The sequence below is a fragment of the Homo sapiens genome, chromosome 15, assembly GCF_000001405.40.
Source record: "Homo sapiens chromosome 15, GRCh38.p14 Primary Assembly".
NCBI classification, from domain to species: Eukaryota; Metazoa; Chordata; class Mammalia; order Primates; family Hominidae; genus Homo; species Homo sapiens.
This window is the reverse complement of record NC_000015.10, coordinates 70,674,895-70,697,614: the sequence shown is the minus strand read 5'-3', so window position 1 is coordinate 70,697,614 and position 22,720 is coordinate 70,674,895. Positions and strand designations below refer to the sequence as shown.

Genomic DNA, 22,720 nt, shown 5'->3' with positions numbered 1-22,720 from the left:
GTTTCAAATGATTGTTTTTAATTTTGAAATTTATTTCTAAATTTAAGACAAAAGAACATGTGCTTCTTGAGCTCAATTTGGTTTCAAAAATGAAATATTTGAAGCCTAGCCATAGTTACCACAAGGATCTGTTTTCTTTCTGTTCGCCTCTCTCCTAAGGTACAGCCCTTCCAGGGCCCAATCCAAGATGGGGAAGGTTCACCAAGGATTCCATTGCTACTTGGAGAACAGTGGACTCCAGTTTGTGTCTCCCCATTTCCTCAAGGCTGTCAAAGTGCTGTTCAGTCTCCTGTTTCTCTGGAATCAGCAAATGTTCCCAGGGAAAAAGTGGCCTGAAATACTAAGCGCACTTCTCTGGGCCTTCTTCCTACCTTGCATCTTGGCCTAGTAACTTTTTACTATTTTGTTAGCTCACTGACACCTTTAAGCATATGTCTCATATTTTTTGCAGCTTTTCTAGTTGTCCTCAGTAGTAACATTTGTCCAGGTTACATATATCTCCTGTTATAGAAGTCCATGTCTTGTTTTTAAAAGAAGAAAACATAGAGTTGATTTTTAAATTGCAAAATAGTATTTTTTATAAAGCAATTTTTCATATTTCCTATACAATTCTTTGCATGTTTTAATGATTGATGTATCTTCTTTCCAAAGCACATCTATTTATAGCACATCAGCATTACTAATGCATTGTAGATTTGTTGTGATTTCTGCCCTTTTGTACATCATCATTATAATGTTGACCTCTTTTGAAGAAAGAGGTCTTCCACATTTTGTGAGCTAAGAAATGAAAACAAGCAAACAACAAAACAATGATATCTCTAAGATTGTTGGGAGACTACCTTTGCTAAAGGAAATTAGCATTCTTCAAAAGGTTCTAATGGTGCATTGCATAGTATAATTCCCAGTTTCATTGTGGCAGAGAGATTATAAGGCAGAGATACTCAGCCTTATAGCGATTTAATTTAGTAGAAGGAGAACTTACCTGACTCTTAAGAATACTATATTCCTTTTACCAGAAACAGCTTTCTAATTCGGATTGTACACAAACCTGCTTTACTTGGTGGTGCTTTGTCTATAGTTTGCATTTATATCCATCGTAATACTAATAGCGTCGCAAGACTGAGTCTTGTAATATCTGGAAACGAATTTGTAAGCTATCTTCAGATTTTGTCTCCAAGCATGCAGTTATTCAAATATTTGAGGGTTTGTCATTTGACTGGCACTGTTATTGGTTCGGGGGATGTAATAGGAAGCAAAACTAGACAAAAATCCCTGCTTTCATTGAGTTTATAGTTGAGTGGGAAGAGATTGATAGACTATAAAGAAAGTAATGAATTTATTCTATTCCAAAATATTAAATCCTCTATAGAATAATAAAGGCAGGGATTGGGGGAACTAGGAGTACTAAGGTTTTGGTGAATGGGAAAATGTAAAAAATTTTAATGGTGTGGTCAGGGAAGACCTCTGCTGAGAGTGGGCTACAAGAGTGTATCTGTATCCTGGCACCTGCTGAGCACTTTCACATTTTTTGTTTCCTGGCATCTCTAGAATGGTTATTGCACTTACTTAAGGCCTCAGTTCTATTTCTACTTGAGTTCAACATCCTTTGCCAACAACTATTGTATTTACCTGTTTGGATTTGTAGAGTAATATTCAATGTCAGTGGCAGTTCTTTTTGTTAAACTCAGCATAATTCATAGATTTACAGAATGTCAGTTCTCATTGCACACAAAATATTTCTATAATGTTTGTTGATTAATAAAATATTAGATGACTAAATAAATAATGAAATATTGTTAACTAGCATTTTGAATACTTGATGGCTTAAAGTTAGTTTTTTAACTTTAACTTGCCTTATTAGGAAACTTATTCAGTTATTCCTGTTCATGTGAAACTTCAGCCAATCATACAAGCCCAGGCCTTTGAACAAAAGGAAGAATTAGTTGGTAGTTGGTAATTAGTTGGTAATGTTTGGGAAGAAGGCGCTGATTCTTTTGTGATTTTAAGGGTAGTTTAGCTTGTTGTTTTGAAGGCTTTTCTAAGCAGGTTTAGTTTGATAATTCTAAAGAGAAAAGGTAAGTGTTTGGATCTGTCTTTGGCCTCAGCATTCTGCTAAACTAAATAAAATAATGAAACTATTTGAAACTAAATAAAATAATCTGATAGAAAATTTTCAGTGCATTTATTAAGATCCAAGCAGCAATGCTTTTGCTATAAACTTTAGAGTTAATGATATTATAGTATAAATTTTCTCTTATTAAGGCTTTTGCACATTAGTATATTTCATTGGTTCTAAGCAGGTATTTTTAGAAAGTATTGGCCCCTTATGTAAATGAGATAGGTTTCTTTTTTTAATTTTAATTAAATATGTAGGTGTTCTAATGTAGCCTTTAAAATGTGTGTGTGTTTGTGTGCGTGTGTGTGTGTTGAAAAAGGGTGACATTAATGTAGCATTTAAGGTGACCTTTGGTTGTTTCCTTAGCACAACAAATATTTTTTTTTTGTTTAGCTTCCATGTTGTGACCTCAAAGGGGAATCTTGAGTGTTTGAATGCCATCCTTATACATGGAGTTGATATTACAACCAGTGACACTGCAGGTATGTTTGCCTCCATAGTTAATTATAAAACATAAAGTGAAAACAAACATTGTCCACTGCTAACATTTTTATTCAGACCTAAATGTGATATAAAGAGAGATGTCCTCAATTTTCTGTTTTTAAAATAGTTGAGAAAGAGTTTACTTCTGAGGTATTGTGGGAGAGGTCAAGTATAGGGAATTTAGGAGAAAGGATTGCTTTACTGACGAGCAGTTGGAGACCTGAATTCTAGTGCAGGTCCTAGTAGTGTTACAGAATCCTAGAATCTCAGATTTTGAAGAACCATTAGGGACCATTTGGCATTTGGTTGGATGTTTCTTGTGATGGAGAACTAACTGCTACCTAACAGCATTATCATCAAGGACAACAATAATAACAAGAATAGCTGACATGTATATAACATTTAATAGCTATTCTTCTAAGCACTTTACCCATTCATTTTATTCTCATTCATTTTATTCTCTCAGAACCCAGAGAAGTTCTGAGGCCCTGAGCTGTTAAGTAATTTGGCCCAAGGCCCTTCAGTAGCTAAGTCGCAGTCAGAATCTGTATTCTTAACCATTATGCCTCATAAGGAACCCATTCTGTGCCTAGCTATATTTATAAAAAAATCATTTTTTATAGAGAATCGAAATATATTTCTAACTCAGTTTTCTGCTTACACTTATTTGTACCTTTGTCTGTCCTTTAAAATCTTACAACAAAGGTTTGTACATCAAAGAAGTTTGTACATCAAATGTAGACCTTTAAGTATTTGAATATAACTATCTCTTTTGTTCCATGAGAGTGCTAGTTTTCTATCTATCAGGATAAACATTCTCACTTCTCTGGGACTGTTGACAGCTTAGTTCTTTGCAGTTATACTTTGTTTTTCTATTAAATACAGGAGTTGACCCAGAACTAAAAGGCTTTTGTTTGTTAGTTTTTACAGTTTTTTATCCTGTGATTCCATGTAGGGGCAAATAAATACATTACTTTTACCCAGCATTGTGTTTAGAAATGGAAGGGAGGGAGAGGGAGACAGATCACAATTGAATTAGTGAGGTAAATCTTTACTTAAGAATACATCAGATTCTAAGAAGACCAAATTCAATTTATCTGCTACCTTTGAGTGAACAAAGAAATGTGTTTATTGCTTATATATGCTTTCCATTGATGTAGAAGAATATTTATTTTTAGAAATTTTGGACTAACCTTACCTCTTCAGAGCTCTTAAGACTATTTATTGTGTGGATCCCAATTCAAACAGGTATCTTTCTTGTTTTTGTCTGTATTCTTTCTGCTCTGGACATTTTGCCTAGTGGCTAATCTAGTGACTTCTGCTTGCCTTCTTTCTTTGCAGATCAAGCTCAAATGCTTCCCCAAGCTCAGCAGACATTATTTCATATATTGCACCCCAACATACCGTGTTTAACTCTTCTGTCTTTTGTTTTTGCTGCTATTTATATTTTCATTTGATATGTTTTATAATGTTTGTCCCTAGAGTTGTCCTTTATTGAATACAAGGGTCTTTTCTCAATTGCTATAATGTCTGTTATAATCCAGATGTAGATATTTGAACAATGTGAATACACATCTTTATGTGTATTATCTTAAGTGCTGTTTAATATTAAAGTGTATTTAAAATGACCAGATTTCAAATTAGTGCAGTTTTGAGATATTTGTTACTTAGGTCTTACCAGGTATGCACCTGTGTTGTAATTTATGTTGGTATGCTTTAGATCTGGTGTTTCCTTGGTTTTTTGCTGCCGTATCTCAAGTGGCTAGATTTGATATTTCCTTATCCCTGATCTGACATTTTTATGTGACCAAGTTTCTGTAGCATTTTGTTGAACACCAGGTACTGTTGCCACTGTGCCTAACCCTACCATCTCCACTCCATGCTATCTCTTACTTTACATGTAAATGACAGTTATTTTAGTCACTTTTCACAATGTGAAATGTTTCTAGGACACTTGTCCATGAACAGGAGCAAATTGAAATTTGAAATGATCACATCTGATTGACTTGTAATTAGAGGATGTTTGGGTGTGGTTGAATGTATTGTATCTGTACTTATTGAAAAACCTGAAAGACCTGGACTCACTATGTTTTGTTCTGCAACCTGGTTAGTCAGCTACGTGGAAGTGACCAGAGAGTTGAAAGCCAATTTATTTATCCCTCCAAGATGAATAAAACATAAATTACTCTTCTAGCAAAAAGGTCTACTTGTGAAATCAAATTATGGTGTTTTTGTTTTTGTTTTTTTCTGACAGGATTTCGCTCAGTCACTTAGGCTAGAGTGTGGTGGCATAATCATGGCTACTGCAGCCTTGACCTCCTGTGCTTAAGTGATCCTCTACCCTCAGCCTTCTGAGTCGCTGGGACTACAGGCATACACCACCACACCTGACTAATTTTTATATGTTTTGTAGAGATGGGATTTCACTATGTTGCCCACGCTGGTCTCAACTCCCAGGCTCAAGCAATACACCTGCCTAGGCCTCTCAAAGTGCTGGGATTACAGATGTGAGCCACAGTGTCCGGCCCCCAAATTATATTTTAAGAAGTTTGTGGCCAGGTGTGATGTCTCATGCTTGTAATCCTATTACTTTGGGAGACCAAAGCAGCAGGATTGCTTGAGGCCAGGCGTTCAAGACCACTTTGGGCAATACAGTGAGCCCCTGTCTCTACACAAAATTAAACAAATTAGCTGCACATGGTGGCACGAGCCTATAGTCCCTGTTACTCTGGAAGCTGAGCTGTGAGGATCGCTTGAGCCCAGGCATTCGAGGCTGTACTGAGCTATGAGGCTGCACACTAGCCTGCGTGACAGAGTGAAACCTTATCTCTAAAAGAATAAATTGAAAAGAAAAGAAGTTTGTGAGATTAGAGGGAAATTAAGAGCATTAAATGTTAGAAGTTGGAATAGCCTGGTTAAATCCTTATATCTTTCACCATCCAAGAGGTGTTTGTATAAAGAAATATAATTAGGAAAAATAGGGTTTGGAGGTAGATAGTTCCTACAAGTTTCTTTTCTGGTATTCAGAATTAACCTTTCAGATTACCTGGTAACCTCTCCTCCCTACCCCCTTTGGCATTTCCTTTAAAATGCACATTTTATACAAATTATATTTGCATGAGTTGTCTGATTTTCAGAGATAGAATTACATAATAAACTTTGAATTTTAGCCAAAGCATGAAAAATCAGTTAAGGAATACCCTTTCTATGCCTTACGCTTCTTAACTTTCTCAATTTTCAGTGTCCACACTGCCTATTTGGATATGTAATGTGAAATCTTGGTATTTCTTTCTCTCTCTTCTTTCCTCATTGTCTTTCTCTCCTTTCCCTTTTCTCTGTGCCAGTATTTAATTATCTGCTGTGTTTTAGGTACTGTTCTACATGCTGGGGATATAGTAGTGAATACAACAAAGTTCCTGCTTGTTATAGATTTCTATAATTAGTTTTTCTTTCTACCTTCATTGTTTTGGTACGTATATCATCTCTTACTAAAATATCAAGCTAGATGAAACATCTTTGGAAACTGAAAGTATACTTACAGATTAAGTATGTTGTCAACTAGTTTTGGGAAAAAAGAATCATATTTCTATAAAAATCCTCAATTTACATATGAAGAAAATAATCCTTCACATGTATCTTAAATTATTTATAGGGAGAAATGCTCTTCACCTGGCTGCTAAGTATGGACATGCATTGTGCCTACAAAAACTTCTACAGGTAGTGGAAGTGGTTAATACTTTAGCTTTATTATTTTGACAACAAATCATAGATGTACTTTTAATGTGTTTTTGGAATTTTAGATCAAAGAGAATAGTAAACTAACTTTGACTATGAGCTTACATATTTTTTCCATCATTTGTGAAGGAATGTGAACAATAAAGAGCAAAAACTGAGGGAAGTGAATTGCATAACTCAGTGTATTAAAAATAAATAACAAAGGCTTGACCTTCCTGTTGACATAGCTGAAGGTTGGAATTTTCTGTTGTCTAGACTATCGTGGAAGATAAAGTAATACAACATAGGACCTGTATATTTCTATTCAAACACAGATAACTTATACTACATAATATTATTACATTTTTAATCAGATAACCACAAAATTCTAACTAGTTGGCTAAAGTTCCCATCAAATATTTCAGTCATACATTTTTATAAACATATTCACTAAGTTTCATAGCAGAACTCACCTGCTTTTCTGATTCAGTATCTCAAGTTTTAATTCTTGGTGGAAAAAAAAACCCCAAACAATACATATTTTCCTGTATTTCATGCCATTCATTATAATGTACCATATGTTTCCTGTTTGGTGAAACATTGTTAATTTAGTTATATAATGTTACTGTATTTGTTCCATGTCAGCATATTTCATGGATTGTCGGATAGTCTTTAGCTTCTTTGATAAGTGGAATATTTTAAGATTAAATAACAGCTGTTCATCTGAGTCTGGATATCTAATTTTAAAATAAAACTCTCCTACTTTACTAAGTTTTCTTTACTTTAACAGTACAATTGTCCCACTGAGCATGCAGACCTGCAGGGAAGAACTGCACTTCACGATGCCGGTGAGCAGTGGTTTCCCTTGGATACAAATATTTGTTAAAATGTCTAGTCATTTGAATTAATTTCAGGGTTTTAACACATAGATATTTATATAATTCATGGAGAAACAAAGAATATTAAAAACCTGTTTGCACAAATTAGAGATTTATTAGATTATACCGCTTAAAAAGATTCATTCAGTCAGTATTTACAGGCCAGTCAGCTTGCTAGATACTAAAGGTACAAAGGTAGATAAACTATAATCCTGCTCACAAGGAGCTCCAAGCTGTGTGTGTGTGTGTGTGAGAGAGAGAGAGAGAGGGAAACAGAGAGAGAATGTGTGTGCGTGTGTGTGTTTCATGTCTTTGGGAATTGGAGAAATGGGAAGAAGACTTTCCTTAAACTATGTTTACCTAATTAACATGTCTGAACCTCTTTTTTCTCATTTGCAAAATGAAGTTAATAATACTACTGCAATAAGTAGTATTAATAAGTATAATCAAATCATAAGTAGTGCCTGGCACATAATAATTTCTTAATTAATGGTGGTAGTTGTTTTCCTTTAGAGATGTCAGTGCTGAATTTCATATCACTGTAATGTGCTATATTTTAAAAGAGATTTATACTGATTTTTAGAGATTTTATTATACTTGTGTGTCTAAATTTATTTGCATTATTCTTTAGGTGTCTTAAAGAAAGTACTTTGAAAAAAGTTATATATTTAGGTATTTTTGGAATGTAAGATAGCCTGACCTCTTGCTAAGTCTGATATTCCTACATTTAACTATAAGGCCAAAGGAAAAAAAACAGTCTACTTTCTCTTTTCATGTATATGGAATATATGCAGTAGATTAAGGTGGTCTGCACTGAAGACATATTATACTTCAAATTTCCTTCAAAATTTTATACCTTAATTTTTAAAAATTTTGCTTTTTGTATTTTATTTGTATGATAATTTCTCACACAATGCATTTCTTTTTTTTAATATAGAAGGGTATTACTGTATTTGCAAAGCATTTTTCCATTATCATTTGAGCCTCACAATGACCCCTGTAAGTTAACCATATATTTTATTATCCCTGCTTTAAAAACTGGTACAACTTGACCAATTGAAATCTTTATACTTATTAGTTAGATGCATTAGCTAGGATGGAAACTAAGTTGCTATAACAAAAGAACTCCAATATCAGCTGCTTATTAAAAAAATTGTTGAGTGATATATATTGACAGGTCACTCATGGTCATTTTAAAACTGAATTCTTTCTATCTTGTTTCTCCACTTACCTGTGAGTATCTTCCTTAACTGCAAGGTTGAAGCAGAGTTGTGGTCGTAGCCGTATTCTAGCTAGCAGGAAGGAGGAGAGAGCCTAGTGGAATACATGCCCAAAGTCTGGAACTCAGACTTGGAAGTAGTAGATTATTCTCCATTCATATTCTACTGATAGGAGCAAAATCAATTGGCTATATTTATCTGCAAGGGAGGCTCAGAAATAAACTCTCTAGGTGACTAGTCATATTCCGAAACCTACTCTATAGTAGAAGAAGAGGAGAACAAATTTTGGTAAAATACTGCATTTTCTGCTACAGTTCAACTCTCTGGCCTTCCAAATATCTCCAAAGCCCCTACTTCCCACATACTCCCAAAGGAGAGGATATATAAACAAACTCATTTACTTCATCTAGCTCAAAGTCTAGGATTTCTGGGTGGTTTGCAGTTTTCTCTTTTTGGCTTTAAGCGGTTCTTCATGATCTAGTAATCTGTAAACTCTGGAATTTATTATGCTTTACATTTTTAAATTCTCATTTATAATTGGACGTAAAGGGTCGCTAATTTTACAGTTCCTGAATTAATGTTTTCAGGTTCAGTTTATCTTTTTCTTAAAGCTGATGATACATTTTATATAAAAGATTTGCTGGATTAGAGACGAAAAGTGAAAATTTACTTGATTTTCTTATGTTTGGTTTAATTCTATTATTTCACCAATAAAAAAAAGAATGCTCACTTTGTCAGTACTTTTTGTGCTTATAATGTATGTCAACTCATAAGGCTTAAAAAATTCATGGGGATTGTAAACATAATCCTACTTTATGAATTTAACAATAATTTTTCCTAATATAAATATGAACTATAGTGTTAGTCAAAGAAGCATAATGTGATTTTATAATTATTAGCAAAATGACCTTACTTTGCATAAAGGTAGACATTGCAATCTCTGCTTTTATGAGAAATATGAATTGTATGATTCATACTTTACTTACTGTGACTATTCTATAAAAAATGGATATGATTCTTTAAAAAAACTGAGCCAACACTTCAAGGATCAAGTCAGTTATAGCCATGTTTAAAAATATACTGTAAGTACAAAATTTAGCTTTGATTTTTATTGTCTGTGCTTATCCTTAGAATAGTAGTGTGTTCTTGTCTTCTACAAGGTTGACGTTATTCCTTGGTCCTAATAAATTGTAGACAATTTATAATCTTGTCTAATCCATTTTCAGATGAAAAATTGTGCTTATAATGCTAAACTAAGAGTGAAGGACGTGAAGCTTGGTAATTTAGAAATTGAAAAACTTATTCCTTATATGGACCTAGAAAAACACTATGTGTCTTACCAACAGATGTTCACCATTTATCATTTTCTTTTGTTCCTTAAAGCAATGGCAGATTGTCCTTCTAGCATACAGCTGCTTTGTGACCATGGGGCCTCTGTGAATGCCAAAGATGTAGTAAGTTAGTTTATGTTTATTCTCATTTCAACTCATGCATTCTAACTTCTACATTTTGGGAGATCTGTTGTCTTAATGCTGTTTTATTTTTCCTGTTGCTTAGGACGGGCGGACACCACTTGTTCTGGCTACTCAGATGAGTAGGCCAACAATATGTCAACTGCTGATAGATAGAGGAGCGGATGTTAATTCCAGAGACAAACAAAACAGGTAATTCTTTTATCATGGCTCCCAGATACCAGCTGGATACACAGGGATGGAAAGGCCAAGTCAAAGCAGCAGCTCTGTTCTCTGACTTGGCCTTTCTTTCCTGTGGGTTCTCCCCTTCCCTGGCTTGCTTTTCCTTGGAATTAACATCTACTTGTCAGTTTTCTTCAGAGTCTGCTGAAGAAAGAAGGAGAGGGAAATAGAGGAAGATGACAGGGTTAATGTGAATAAAAGCAGTGATTAGGCCTTATGTTTGGATCAAAGAACTGAAGGAGAGAGGAATTACATCCCAGGTGTTTTAAGCTTAAAAAACTCTTTAATGAAATGGGTGCAAGTAAGATACATAGGAGAAGAATTTAAAAAGTACATCTGTAGTTACTTCTTCATTAGTGAATCTTTTGAGTAAAGTGGTTCTTGAGTGTTCTGGAACTTGACATGTGTCAGTATAGATTTTCTCAAGGTGTTTTCTCTCCTTACTCTGCCAGGGTACAGTGCCATCTCCTACTCTGAACCTGTCCATTTCTGTACTGCAGAGGTCCCTTGCTTTATTTTTGCTTCTGTATTTGATACTATTTTAGTTGGTGTGCTCTAATAATTTCTATCCAGAATTCTCCCTATCTCTGTCTGTAGGTCTAATGTATCATGGTGCTTGTTGTATTACAATTCTGAAGTTTATGGTCACAAAGTATCTGAAACACACCCCTTCCATTTAATTCAAGTATTACAATAAATTAAACTAAAATTTCTGGGATTTTTGTAGTTACTAGTAAAAATTTTGGTTTCTTTTGACTTAATTTTATTCTTCCAAACATGTATTCTATTGTTTGTAGTTTATTAGAAGTATAAAAGTATAAAAAATAGTCTTTAGTTGTCAGATTTTATAGCTGTAATTGTTTTCTTTATGCATCTCAAAGGAGGAAATTCTGTACCTAATGCTAAATGACGAGTTAATGGGTGCAGCACACCAGCATGATGCATGTATACATATGTAACTAACCTGCACATTGTGCACATGTACCCTAAAACTTAAAGTATAAAAAAAAAAAAAAAAAAAAAAAGAACCCTGGCTTCTACAACTCCCCTTATCTTAACTCAAGCATTTCTTTATATTGACTTCAATTCTCCAGACAAAGCTTAATGCTTTCAATCAATTCCCAATCAGGAAATCTTTGACTTGGAAGCCCCTACTTTGAAATGTCCTGACATTCTGAGCTAAACCAATGTATACCTTATATGTATTGATTTATACCTTTGCCTGTAACTTTTGTCTCCCTAAAATGTATAAAACCAAGTTGTAACTCAACCACCTCCGGCACCCATTCTCAGGACCTCCTGAGGCTGTGTCATGGGCCATGGTTGCTAACATTTGGCTCAGAATAAACCTCTTTAAATATTAAAAAAAAAAAAAAAAGATGTGATTAAGAAGTGGCTTTTTAATATTACTTTGTTTTTGTGGATACTATCATCTGATTCCAAGCATGATGAAGAAAATTGGATTTTAAAATTAAATTTTACGGCTGGGCGCGGATCACTTGAGGTCAGGAGTTCAAGACCAGCCTGGCCAACATGGCGAAACCACATCTCTACCAAAAATACAAAAATTAGCTAGGTGTGGTGGTGCGTGCCTGTAATCCCAGCTACTCAGGAGGCTGAGGCAGGAGAATTCCTTGAACCCAGGAGGCGGAGGTTGCAGTGAGCTGAGATCATGCCACTGCGCTGGCAACAGAGCGAGACTCTTGTCTCAAAAAAAAAAAAGTTAAATTTAATTTTAGGATCACAGAGGGATAATCTGGTTGATCTACATACAGTGCTTTATATTTTTTATAGCTCTCACATTTTTCAAAGCACTTTATCTATGTTTTTTCATTGGGCATTCACAAAAAGCCAATGAAGCAGGGCAGTGTATATTGTATAGACTAAATAGCATATGGTTTTCAACATAATTTATAACCTTAGTTTCTAATACTCTATATTCATTTCTTTTTTTCCTGTTTTATATGTAGCATTTTTTAAATAACAAAAACTTTGTTAATGCCTGTTTTGTACAGAATTTCTTATCAGCAACTACAGGGGAGTTGGGGGACAAGGCTTGAATATGAGAAACACAGCATACATAGCAGAGAAAAGGCAAGAGTCAGTTTCCTTAAGAGATCCAATATTCACAATTGAAGACAGAGTTAGATATAGGATATGTCATTTCATTTCATTACGTGTTGGTTAGCCCCATCCTAAAAAATAGAGGATTAGACAAAATAATTTCTAGGGTCCTTCTAGATTTTCATGACAATTATTTTGTTGCATGATTAGTATTTGCTGATGTACTGTGAGATGTTTGAGTGCCAGTGGTTCTATTGCAATAGAATAAAGCAATGATCCATGTTGCATGGCGTTAGTTGTAGTCTGAAGATGTGAAGGTCTTCAGGTAGAAGAATCAAGGTTCTTCTAAGCAGGAACATCAGGAATGGAATCTGATACTTCTCTTGGAGGAGAAGGGATTCTTAGGGGAGGTTTGCATGATGTGGTTCAGTTCATGAAGGGACTGAAAAAGTTGGGTTTTGATCACATGGGGTGACAGTATCAGTTGTGGAAAATTTTTGTGGTGATTATTTACGTGTAGGACATTGAAGAAGTGGAATAAATGAGGTTGGTTTGGTAGTAGAAGTAATTAAAGGATATAAGGATATAGAAGACAAAGCAAATGTTTTTATAAATGCAATGAATATAAAGTAAAATCTATATCTGTAACAGGCATGACTTCTTAAAGTAGTGTCTATTCTTCAAGAAGGGAGCATGTCTTAGTGTTCAAGTAAGTGTTCAAGTAGTGTTGAACACTTACTTGAACTTAGTGTTCAAGTAGAACTACAGTTTATAAGAAGCAAAACATTCCTTACTGATAAACAGTATTGGTTCATCTCCCTCTACAACATGGATTTGCTTACTTACATTATAGTCACTTGCTTTGAGGCAGTGTGTGTTGCATATATAATCTAGTTTATCCAGTGAACACTAAGACAGTGTTCAACAATAGGGCAGAATATTTCTGCAATATTTCCTTGGAGTTTTCTCAGTCTTTTGCTCTTCCATTTTTCCATTTAGAACTGCCCTCATGCTAGGTTGCGAATATGGTTGCAGAGATGCAGTAGAAGTCTTAATTAAAAATGGTGCTGATATAAGCTTGCTGGATGCGCTTGGCCATGATAGTTCTTACTATGCAAGAATTGGTGACAATCTGGACATTCTAACCTTGTTGAAGACTGCATCGGAAAATACCAACAAAGGTATCAGCAGTTTTCTGTAACTAGAAAAGTCCACATTAACAAAGAGCCACTTTTTAAAAGACTTAGGTAGTAGAACTACAGTTTATAAGAAGCAAAACATTCCTTACTGATAAACAGTATTGGTTCATCTCCCTCTACAACATGGATTTGCTTACTTACATTATGGTCACTTGCTTTGAGGCAGTGTGTGTTGCATATATAATCTAGTTTATCCAGTGAACACTAAGACACTGGAATAACTTCAGAACTGAGAAGGAAGAGTCAAGTGTTTTACTAAGTTTTTTTTTTTTTTTGATGAAGAGGGGTGAACCTCCCAACTTTTTATACTTACGAAGTTTTAAAGAATCATTGTTTAAACATGTATGTAAAATAGTCAGCTGATATTTACCAAATGCCTATGCCATGATTTTTTATGTTTTTTTTAAAAAAAACAGGAACATACAGAAAAGCACAATGAATAGTCACTCATTACCACTGAGAAGCCTCTGTTAACATTTTGAGAAATATCCTTCTAGTCTTTTCCCATTAAATTGAATTCACTGTAAATCTGAATTGTAGCTTACTTTTTTATGTAACCTATTTTGAAGGCCTTTCCCTCAAAAATAGTTTTTCTATAGTATGATTTTTGTTGGTGTATGAGATTCCATTTATTTAAGTTTCATTTAATAAAGCAGTTTTCTACATGTAGTGTTTAAGCTATTTATAATTATTCATTAATACACAAAGGTTATGACTGTCCTTATGCATAAATATTTTAGTATATTTTTATTACCCTTTAGGGTCGGTTCCTAGAAATTGAATCACTGAGTTTCAGGGCATGCACATTTCTTTAAGCCTTTGGTCTATGTTGGCAAATTGCCTTCGAATTTAGGAGCTTTTTAAATTTTCTTCCCCTCTTTTTTTTTAGATATGGGGTCTCCCTTTGTTGCCCAGGCTAGAGTATAGTGGTGCCATCATAGCTCACTGCAATCTCAAACTCCTGGGCTCAAGTTATCTTCCTGCCTCAGCCTCATGAGTAGCTGGGACTACAGGCATGTACCACCATGGCCAGCTAATTTTTTATATTTTTTTTGTAGAGATGGGGTCTTGCTATGTTGCCCAGGCTGGTCTTGAACTCCTAGCCTCAAGTGATCCTCCTGCCCCAGCCTCCCAAAGTGCTGGGATTACAGGTGTGAGCCACCATACCCAGCCTAAATAAATTTCCCATTTTTTACCTGCCTCCAATCCTTAGTCTTTAATCTTACCTACTTGAATATTGTTATAAAAATTTTGCTAATTTGATAGGCAAAAGTGAGATGTCATTATTGTTTCAAGCATACGTTTTAGAAATAAAACTAAAAAGTTGTAAGCTTTAGAGGAAACTCTAAAGTTTATTTATTTAATATTGACTCAATTGTATAGTTAGGGAATGCGTACCTACCCCAAGTTAACCTGCCATTTTGTTGTTTCTCTTTTTCTCTAAATCTTAGGGAGAGAACTTTGGAAGAAAGGGCCATCTTTGCAACAGGTAGATATTAATTTTAATTTTAAATAATTATATGTATTGTATAGTTTAAAGTGCTTAGTAAAACTAGTTAATAGTTAGCATAACTATTCTGAGTTTAAATGCGTTCTATCTCTCTTCTCAGTTAATCAAGCCCGTGTAGATTCTGGATACTTAGATCATGAGGTCCTATCAAGATACTATCACTTAGCTTGAGACACATTAGATCTCAGTTTCAATGAAGGTATCCAGTGGGAAAGAGATAGCCTCCTGATTAGGGCCGTGAGCATTCAGTTTTTTCAAGTAGGAGACATTGTAACTTGCTAAATGATGAACTTTAGCTTGGCAGATCATAGACAGTTTCCCCCAGTCTCCCTTAATAACAGGACAAAATATTGACTGTTATGGGAAAATTCTTCCAGTGTAATTAAGAAATGAAGAAAACAGAGTTCTAAACTGATTATATATTGTGATTTCAATGCCACTGTTAGTGTTTTTATTTCTTCTTCAGTCTTTTTTTCTGTGTGTATTTAATTGAGGACTTTACGGAATAACAACACTTGAAATAATTCATGCTTTGCACTACATTTATTATTAAATTACTATTTAACCCTGTTTTGATATCCTGGTTGTGAAATGTCTTATGTTTTCTGCTAATCTATTTGTGTTAAAGTAAGCAGGGTTGGTTTACAGTACCGTGGCTCAAAAGCTAGTGTAGGCAGCTTTCCTCTCCTGCTGACTGTTCCCTTCCAGGCTTTCAGCTTTTCTCTAGTGAGAGGAACCTAAGCATTTGCAAACCCTGAAGAGAAAGTAATCAGGTACCTTGAGCAATTCTGATCATCATCCTGTGTCATTTTTGTACCTCTCACCTGAATCTGAAAGCTACATTTTTTAAAAATTTTGCTTTAAGTTCTGAGATACATGTGCTGAATGTGCCAGTTTGTACATAGGTATACATGTGCCGTGGTGGTTTGCTGCACTTATCATGAAAGTTATATTAAAGCTTGTTTTCCTTTTCAATCCATCTGAATTAATATGTTCATATATGGGTCATGTCTGTTGACACTTTTCCATCTGGAGCAACTGTTCCAGCCTTCTTCCCTGTGCCTCATATAACCTAAGTGTGAGTAGAGTGAAAAAAAATGTACACTGCTATGACTGTACTAGCCATCTCACACAGAATCAGAGAAAAATGATTTCTGAAATATATAGATATTTAAAATAAAAAGAATTATTGAATATTAATATGGGAATTGTTCTCTGCTCAGTGCTCTAGGAAATATTGAAGTGAATACAAGGAGTTAATATTCTACTAGGAACAGAAAGACACACTGCTCCTAATTACTGTGTTTCCGTCATTTATTGAATACACTTACTAAATATACGCTGTAAATAGGACTTTTTTTTTTTAATACTAAGGCACATGTAATCTCTGTTTTCAAGAAGCCTACAGTATAGTTGCAAATGTAAGACTCACTCAGTTGTTTGTTCACAGATATCTGCTGAACATCTACAACATGCCAACTACTGTTCTAAGTGCTGGGAATATTGTAGTGTACGAAGTCTCTGCCCTTATGGAACTCCTAGCTTAGTGAGAGATGAACAATAAGCAAAGGAATATTTAGTATCATAGCAGATGCTGTGAAGAAAAACAAAACAGAATTAAGGGATGAAGAGGGAGTGGGTGGAAGTCTGTGGGAGAAGCCTCACAGGCTGAGGGAAGGGCAGGTGCCCAGCCCCTGATGAGGGAGCAGGTTAGACATGTTCATGGGGCAGCAGCAGACAAGTGTGACAGGAGCGATGTGCCCATCGTGGAGGGAGCAGAAGAAGCTGCTAAAGTAACAAAGGGCTAGATTAAGAAGGACCTTGTATGATAAGGACTATTGATATGTACCCACCAGTGACTACCAGATGGCGGAAGGCAGGACGTGTGCACCCCAATCAGTGGTGCACGTGATCAGATCGCTGCTAAGTGGAGCCAGAGGTGCAAGAGAGGTTCTTTTAGTGTGCTAATAACAAGGCTTGTCAGGAAGATGGATCTTAATTAAAGGATGCGGTTGATTTAGTATGTCTGAGTTAGGATATAGTGGAGGCAGTGGGTGAGGATGCTGAAGTGAAGGCTGGAAATGAAAGTGGTATGATCAGGTGAGCTGTGAGAAGATGTCAGATTCCACTTGAAGAACAGTCCTTTGGTAGAAGGAATGAGGCTGTAAACATAGTTAGGGCCAAATTGTGGATATAGAATATCTTTTAAATGGGAGTTGTTCCTCTAGTTCTAGATCCAAACTCATTTGAATGATAGTTTAAAAACTTGATCAAGCAAAGGTAAACAAATAATACAAAACATGAGAAAATCATCTCGAAGAATTAAAGCAGTAGTTTTTTTTTTAACCTAATTAGGAAGAAATAAATAGCTTTCTACATTAGTTATTGTGGAGATTTAAAGATCATTTTGGTTTTTTTGAAAGGGGGGTTATTCTCTTGTTTAATAATTATGTTGTTTTTGTTAAAGCAAATCTCTAAGCTGGAATAAAGTTTCAAAGCAGTAAGTTACAAAAACAGAACATACACCCAACCAAGTTATTTAAAGACCTTTTTATATTGCTCAGGTCAGAGGGACTGTCTGTCTCTTCCTTACCATACCTCTTGATATTTTATTTTGGTGGTGCTCAGAGAAGTAAATAATTTCTGTATTGTCTTTACAAATTAATGTGACTTCCCCTTCCTCTTCCTTTTTTTTTTTTTTTAAGTTGAGTTCTTTTAGTAGTTGGCAATGCAGTGCTTTATAGCCCAACTTTTGTTATGCATTTATTACAAATTCTTTTTAAAATTTTGTGACTTTAGTTAAAATAAATCCTTAATAATATTTTAAAATTTGTTATTATTTAGTATTTTTAAATAAGTTATACTTGATTTATTTAAAACATAGTCTTAAAGGTCCTTTCCATTTTGGAGTTTTAAATAGAAACACTGCCACCTTGTGTTATGTGCAGCTAATGTTGGATAAACTGAAAATCACTAACTGGGTGTATTGCCAATTGAGGAAAATATACTTTTCTGTATTCTTACACTTGCTGACCCGTGTTTTCTTATGTTTTACCAAAGCGAAATTTGACACACATGCAAGATGAAGTAAATGTGAAGTCACATCAGAGGGAGCATCAAAATATTCAGGTAAAAAGAAAAAAATAATGGTGTCTTCCTTTAAAAACAATTCCAGTATTTGTAGTGGGATTGAGAGAGAAGAGAGGAAGCAAGAGAATGGGTGAAATGAGTGGGGCAAAGAAAGGGAAGCTCGTTAAAATTGTTTGTGATTCTCTTTTTTTTTGCCTAATCTCTTCTATTTATTTATTTATTTATTTATTTATTTATTTATTTAGAGATGGGGTCTGGCTCTGTTGCCCAGGCTGGAGTGCAGTGGCATGATCTCGGCTCACTGCAACCTCTGCCTCCCAGGTTCAAGTGATCCTCCTGCCTCAGCCCTTCTAGTAGCTGGGATTACAGGCATGTGCCACCATGCCTGGCTAATTTTTGTATTTTTAGTTGAGACGGGGTTTCACCATGTTGGCCAGGCTGGTCTTGAACTCCTGACCTCAGGTGATCCACCCGCCTCAGCCTCCCAAAGTGTTGGGATTACAAGCGTGAGCCACCACACCCGGCTGCCTAATCTCTTCTTTAAGAATTGACTTTTGTTATCAATGTTTGAGTCCAGTATTATAAAATTTAATTATGTAACGCTAGAAGTATGGTGTAGAAAGTATTGTTTTAATATATATTAGAAAAAGCAACTTTATATAACTGTTTGATTTAAATGTGTTTGTTTTGTGATGTAAACCATACATTTGTGTTTATTTTAGAAAATTATAGTATTAAAAATGATCATTAATGTAAATTAAATCTGATTTTTTTCTTAAAGTATTTTCTATTTTGATTGAGAAAAATAATTTTGTTAAACTAACCACACAGTACTTTTTGGCTTTTATATTGGTCAAAGTTTCCAAAGAATATTATGAGGATTATTTTAGAGGAAGGACCCATAATTAATTTTATGACTGAAACACCGTTAAATGATAAATTGAATAGCTGTTTCAGTATAATAAAAGCATTTTATTTGGGTTTTCTTAGTTTACTATGTAGTGTAAGAAAATGAACTATGTCCTTAAATTCGAGCCTTTATCTTTTACCAGAGCACTGAAAATGATGATTATTTCAACAAAAGGATTAGAAGAGTCTCATAAATTTGGGAGGTCTTAAGCAAAAGTTAAAATGGCATATTCTTTTGCTCTTTTCTGTGTCTAGATGCTTTTTATTTTTTCTTTATTGGAATTAGGATGATTTGCCCTCTTGTAGTATATACTTGTATTTATTAGCTATTATAGGATAGTAATTTTCTATTTTATTTATGATCTGTAGATTTTAAATCATTGGCATATCATTGAAATTATTGTATCTTTTGTACTTAGTGTTTTACATATGTATGTACCTGTATGGTAGTGAACTGCTTTTAAAAATTTCTCCTTTAAGAATTTGCTCTTTTAAGATTGGCCTGGCACCTTGTTGTCTTTATTATTTAAGGATTTGGAGATTGAAAATGAAGATTTGAAAGAGAGGTTGAGAAAAATTCAGCAAGAACAAAGAATACTTTTGGATAAAGTCAATGGTTTACAGTTACAGCTGAATGAGGTAAATAAATCTGCATAATAGAAAAATAAACTGTCTTACTATATCAATAGCAAATTGTTAATGATTGTGCTAAAGAAGGTAAAATTAGCTCATTGCACTTCAGAGGAGTTAAATCTTACTGGGGACCAGGATTTTTACATGAAATTTTACATTTAAAGTACCATAAGCTAACAAGTAAGGACAGTGTAAAGAATGTTCAGGGAAGTGAGGAGAGATCACTGTGGGCTGCCGCTTCTGAGGGGGGCACTTCCTGTGGGAGATGGTACTTCTGTTGAATTTTGAAGGAAGTAAGAGGGAATCAGAGGGCATTCCAGAGAACACTGTGATGAGCAAAATCACAGAAACAGTGACCTGTAATATATTCCTTGTTGTATAAAAAAATTGGAAATACAAGAAATATCCATAAATCATTTTTTAGAGGGAAAGTAGAATATATATGAAATCTAGTATCATCAGTTTGCTCTTTAAATATACATTTTATTATGTACAGGACTTACCACAGGTGAAATCTTATGTGATATTTGCATTTCAAAAGTAAGAAGTAACTGCGTGATTGGTACAGCTGTGTCCTTGTGATTCTAATTTTCCGTATCACTTTAATATCTTGCTATCTATGTTAGATTTTCCTAAAATTGAACATATGCAAAAGCAAAAGGCTGAACTATAGTTAGGGCCATGGGATTGGAGAGGAAAAAGTAGACAGAAGATATGAGGACCAAGAACAAGTAGGACTTGGTGGTTGATAGGTTCTCAAGAGAATCAAAAGTGCTTCTGAATTTGGATAGTGAGAAGAATGAATGACAACTCATACAACAGAATTGTACATAATTTTCTTCTCATATCCTTGGCCCTAGTCTTAAAGACATTTGCCAATCTTTTTAAAATATCTTTGCCAAGTTCATGCCTTTTAAAATAGGCTTTTAAGAATTAAAATATTTTGTGTTCTTTTTAAATTTAGGAAGTTATGGTTGCTGATGATCTGGAAAGCGAGGTAGGGTGACATTTTATTTTAAACCATTAAAATTGTTTTAGGAATTGAAGATGATATAGTAGTAAAGGTTTAAGTCCTGAATTGAGATAGAGACCAGGATTCTATTTCTGGTTATTAAAGGGAAATTCAAAATCTATAGATGACTAAAAAAGGATGTTTTGAATGTAGTGGCATAGATTATTGTAGGCATTTTGTTGTTATTGCCTCTGAAAGTCTTACTTTCTGTGAAACTTGTCCTGAAAATAATATAAAATTCTAAACATAAAGAAAATGTCTGAAAACATTAAGATTGAAAACAGAGATTTGAATTTTTTATGATTTTGTTTATAGATATTGTATGTTTCATTAGTATATTTGTAGAAATTATCAACTCTATTAGTAGTTAAAGTTCACCAGGTTGGAGAATTCATTAACTCCAGTCCTCAATGCAATTCCAATTCACGTTTTCTAAAACACATTTTTAATCCAATTCCAAGCACAGGGTGATTTTACTGTATTTATTCTGTTTCATTTCAGAGAGAAAAGCTGAAGTCCCTTTTGGCAGCTAAAGAAAAGCAACATGAAGAAAGCTTAAGGACTATTGAGGCTCTGAAAAATAGATTTAAATATTTTGAGGTATAGAAAGGATAAATTATTTCCTGTAATTCATAATGGGTAATGGTAAGGCTCTTGGCATCAGACTTGAATTTGAATTATAAATCTCTTATTTATAGTGTGACCTTGGGCTGCTTATTTAAAGTCTTCAAACTTGTTGCCTCTTTGGCAAAACTGGGGTGATTGTCTCTTTCTCCACATAGTTATAAAGGTTAAGTGAGATCATTTAAATTGACTAGCATGTAATTGACATTTAGTGTCATTCTAGTTTCTCTTCATTGTCCATCCTTACCTTTTTAAAACATCATATTTCTACCTGTAAATTTGCAGTGAGTATAATGATAATAAAAAGCATTCATATAAATGAATGATGATATGTCCAGGATTATCTCAGAAAGGATTCATCACTGGGCATCACTGAAGGCAGCTGATTCAGCATGAATCTTTTGTCTTTGTTGGTGAATGCAGCCCCAAAGTACACTAAAAAAGTGCCTTAGTCCGTTCATGCTGCTGTAACAAAATAAAGAAAATTTATAAAGAACAAATTTATTTCTCCCATTTCTGGAGGCTGGAAAGTCCAAGATCAAGGCTCTGGCGTTCATGTCTGGTGAGGGCCTTTTGCTGCATCCTCACCTGGCAGAAGGCGAAAGGGCAAAAAGGAGCCTAAGTGAAGCCCTCGTGACTTAATCAGTTTCCAAAAGGCCCCACCTCTTAATACCACCACAGTGGGAATTTAAGTTTCAACACATTTTGGCAGACATTCAGACCATAGCAAAAATAATATTCTTCTTTGTAAATAAAAAACTATGTGTGCATTATGAAAAATAATATAAAACATGTATGAATCTCACAGACAGTGTTGCAAGAGATAAGTCAGACACAAAGAGTACATACTGCACGATTCTATTTTTATGAAGTTCAAAAGCAGATAAAACTAATCTATGATGTTAGAGATTAGAATAGAGACCGCCGTTTGGTGAGGGGTTACTGAGTAAGGTGTGTGAAGAAACTTTTGGTGTCCTGGAAGTGTTTTATATCTTAATCTGGGTTGTGTATAATTACAAAAGGTATGCATATGCAAAAATTCATTGTATTATACACACTTAATATGTGTACATATTTATGTGACTGAATTTTCAAGATTATTCAGAAACACCATTTTATAACCCAAAGAATGATCTAGCTGTAGTGGCTTCTATCTTCTTCACATTTGAAGACTCTTTTTTAGGCTAATTGTGAAACTGGTGATTGCTAATATTTTAATAGCACTGACCATGTACTTTGCATTCTTGTCGTACCTCAAAAAAGAAATCAACTCTATGTGATAAGTTTTATTGTTACCTGACTTCACAGGTAAGGAGGTTGAGGCACAGAGAGGTTTACCCATGAGGGGTTTCACAAATAATAAGTGACAGAGTCAGGACTTGAACCCAAGCATCTGTTGTGCTTTTAACTACAATGCTAGTTTTACACTTAGAATTACTTGAATGAGAAAATTTAGGAGTATATACAGGGCCTTTTAAGTATTAATCAAAGTATAATATAATTTCGGTACTATTTATGTATGTATTTCTTCTAGGAGCTAGACTTTCGCATGTCTTAAGTGTAAGGTATAGGCC

General features: G+C 34.5%; 1 protein-coding gene across 8 annotated transcripts in view; it reads left to right on the top strand.

Annotated features, from left to right (window-relative positions):
• UACA (uveal autoantigen with coiled-coil domains and ankyrin repeats) overlaps positions 1–22,720 on the top strand; it is a 124,350-nt gene that overhangs the window by 81,289 nt on the left and 20,341 nt on the right. For 4 of the 8 annotated variants that reach the window (XM_017022395.2, NM_018003.4, NM_001008224.3 and 1 more), the window contains exons 3-13: positions 2,510–2,598; positions 6,252–6,316; positions 7,104–7,161; positions 9,795–9,865; positions 9,969–10,075; positions 13,169–13,350; positions 14,820–14,857; positions 17,939–18,007; positions 19,409–19,516; positions 20,475–20,507; positions 21,024–21,122. In XM_017022395.2, the coding sequence (XP_016877884.1) occupies positions 2,510–2,598; positions 6,252–6,316; positions 7,104–7,161; positions 9,795–9,865; positions 9,969–10,075; positions 13,169–13,350; positions 14,820–14,857; positions 17,939–18,007; positions 19,409–19,516; positions 20,475–20,507; positions 21,024–21,122 (919 nt within the window). Of the gene's footprint in view, positions 1–2,509; positions 2,599–6,251; positions 6,317–7,103; positions 7,162–9,794; positions 9,866–9,968; positions 10,076–13,168; positions 13,351–14,819; positions 14,858–17,938; positions 18,008–19,408; positions 19,517–20,474; positions 20,508–21,023; positions 21,123–22,720 lie in introns of those variants that run through there. The other 4 variants (XM_017022394.3, XM_005254529.5, XM_011521753.3 and 1 more) reach the window with 2 other exon arrangements.